The 2,753-nt window shown below is 41.1% G+C and overlaps 1 pseudogene; it reads right to left on the bottom strand.

Moving 5' to 3' along the window:
* RPL22P6 (ribosomal protein L22 pseudogene 6) lies at positions 527–993 on the bottom strand (annotated as a pseudogene).

Here is a 2,753-nt window from a genome sequence, read left to right on the forward strand (position 1 = left end):
TGCAGCATTTTGTACCCCAACCATACCCTCAGGATGATATGCCTGGAGAAATGCCAGTTACACCTGGCCGTAACACCCACAGTCTTGGTTCATGTTCTCATCATCACAGTTGCATTAGATGCCTTAATGATCACCCTCCTCTATTTGGGCCATGGAGCCCTTTGAGAATCCAACAATAACTCTGAACCTCTCCACAGAAGAATCACAGGGTCACACAAGCACAAAATTTTACATATAACAGACAACCCTTAAAAGCTAATCTACAGACCCTAGCTCTCATCTTAATCTTTTCTAAATTTTTCTCCATAGTGCTGCCAGGGTGAACTTGAAAAATAAATTTTATTGCATTGTTGGATTTTTATTACCTTCAGGGAAGACTTCAAGCTCCCTAGTAAAGTACATGAGACACCTCCCACATACTGCTCACGTTCCTTACCTACCTTTTTTACTCCACCACTGCTGCAGCAATGAGCTGGTGTGACCCATTTCTTTGGAGAAATGTCTGCTCAGATCCTTTGCCCATTCTTTTTGGTTCCCAAGTTTTATTCAAGAATTCATTCAAAATATTCCAGATAAATAAAATTTAATCCTCATCTTTCTCTTCTTCTTTGTCCTGGTTAATTTGGAAATAACGTAATTCATAACTCTCTTTACTGTTAGCAACTATGCACAACCAATCACATAGATTATTGTTCTTCAAATATTTTTTGGTGAGATATTTCAAATACCTTCTGGAAAAAGGCACTTCCGGTGTTACGGTGAGCTTGCTCTTGCTCCTTTCGATGGTCACCACTCCTCCAAGATTCACAGCTTTTCTGTTCACTTTGATCCTCTCTTGCAAAAACTGCTCAAAATTGGTAGAATGGCGGCATCCATGATTCCATCTTCTATGGGGTGGATGCAATCAAGAGTGAACTTCAGAACCTGCTTCTTTTTTGCCCCCTTTCACCACAAGCTTTTTCACGGGCGCCATGGTGGCAGTGGAGGCAGAAAAGCCCTTTGCCCATTTTTAAAATTGGGTTATTTGTTCTTCTGCTATTGAGTTGTAAGAGTTCCTTATATTTTTTGGATATTAATTCCTTATCAGATATGTGGTTTGCAATTATATTTTCCTAGTCCATAGGTTGCTTTTCAAGTTTGTTGATTGTTTCCTCTCCTGTGCAGAATTTTTTAGTTTGATGTAGTCCCTTTATTTATTTTTGTTTTTGTAGCCTGAGCTTCTGATGTGATATTAAGAAAAAGAAAAATCAGGCCGGGCGCAGTGGCTCACACCTGTAATCTCAGCACGTTGCGAGGTCAAGGCGGGTGGATCATTTGAGGTCAATAGTTCGAGACCAGCCTGGCCAACATGGTGAAACCCCATCTCTACTAAAAATACAAAAATTAGCCAGGCGTGGTGGCACGTGCCTGTAGTCCCAGCTACTCGGGAGGCTGAGGCAGGAGAATTGCTTGAACCCGGGAGGCAGAAGTTGCAGTGAACCAAGATTGCGCCACTGCACTCCAGCCTGGGTGACAGAACGAGAGATTCCGTTTCAAAAAACAATCATTGTCAAGGCAAATGTCAAGAGGTTTTTCCCCTGTGTTCTCTTCTAGGAGTTTTATGGTTTCAGGTCCACAGTACACTGTTAGTGGGAATGTAGATTGGTACAGTCATTATAGGAAACAGTATGGAGGTTCCTAAAGAAATTAAAAATGGAACTACCATATGATGCAGCAATCCCTCTCCTGAGTATATTCCCAAAGGAGAGGAAATCATCACCTTGTAAACATGTCTGCACTCCCCTGTTCATTGTTATGTTATTCACAATAGCCAAGATAAGGAAACAAACTAAGTGCCCATTGACATTTAGGATGGATAAAGAAAATGGGTTTTGTGGTGTACATACAAGGTATTTTCAAAAAGTTCATGGAAAGTCTGTATTATAAAAAAAAAAAAAAAAAACTATGTGGCCGGGCGCGGTGGCTCAGGCCTGTAATCTCAGCACTTTGGGAGGTCGAGGCGGGCGGATCATGAGGTCAGGAGATCGAGACTATCCTGGCTAACACGGTGAAACAATGTCTCTACTAAAAAATACAAAAAAAATTAGCCGGGCGTGATGGCGAGTGCCTGTAGTCCCAGCTACTCCGGAGGCTGAGGCAGGAGAATGGCGTGAACCCGGGAGGCGGAGCTTGCAGTGAGCCGAGTTCGCACCACTGCACTCCAGCCTGGGCGACAGAGCAAGACTCCGTCTCAAAGAAAAAAAACAAAAACAAAAAAACAAACAAAGAAAACACTATGTATGGATTTCAAAATTGTTCACAACAAAATAAACTAGTACTAACTTGTTTATAACATGTCTGGTCAGGATCTAGTTAGAGACACTAAGGACAACACATCAGTTTGAAAAGAGTCCCCTGTCGGAGCAACATGAATTCTGCTAAAATTGAAGCAAGAACAAGCATCAAATGTATGGTGAAGCTTGTGTGAAAGAATGATCACATCACTGATTCTTTACAAAAAGTTTATGGAAACAATCCCCAAAGAAATCAGCAGTTTACAAATGGATAACTTGTTTTAAAAACAGATGAGGCAATGTTGAAGATGAAGCCCATAGTGGCAGACCATCCACATCAATTTTCAAGGGAAAAATTAATCTTGTTCATGCCCTAATTGAAGAGAATTGATGACTAACAGCAAAAACAATAGCCAACACCAGAGACATCTCAACTGGTTCCACTTACGTAAATCTGACTGAAAAATTCAAGTTGAATAA

This window comes from Homo sapiens, chromosome 1 (assembly GCF_000001405.40).
Source record: "Homo sapiens chromosome 1, GRCh38.p14 Primary Assembly".
NCBI classification, from domain to species: Eukaryota; Metazoa; Chordata; class Mammalia; order Primates; family Hominidae; genus Homo; species Homo sapiens.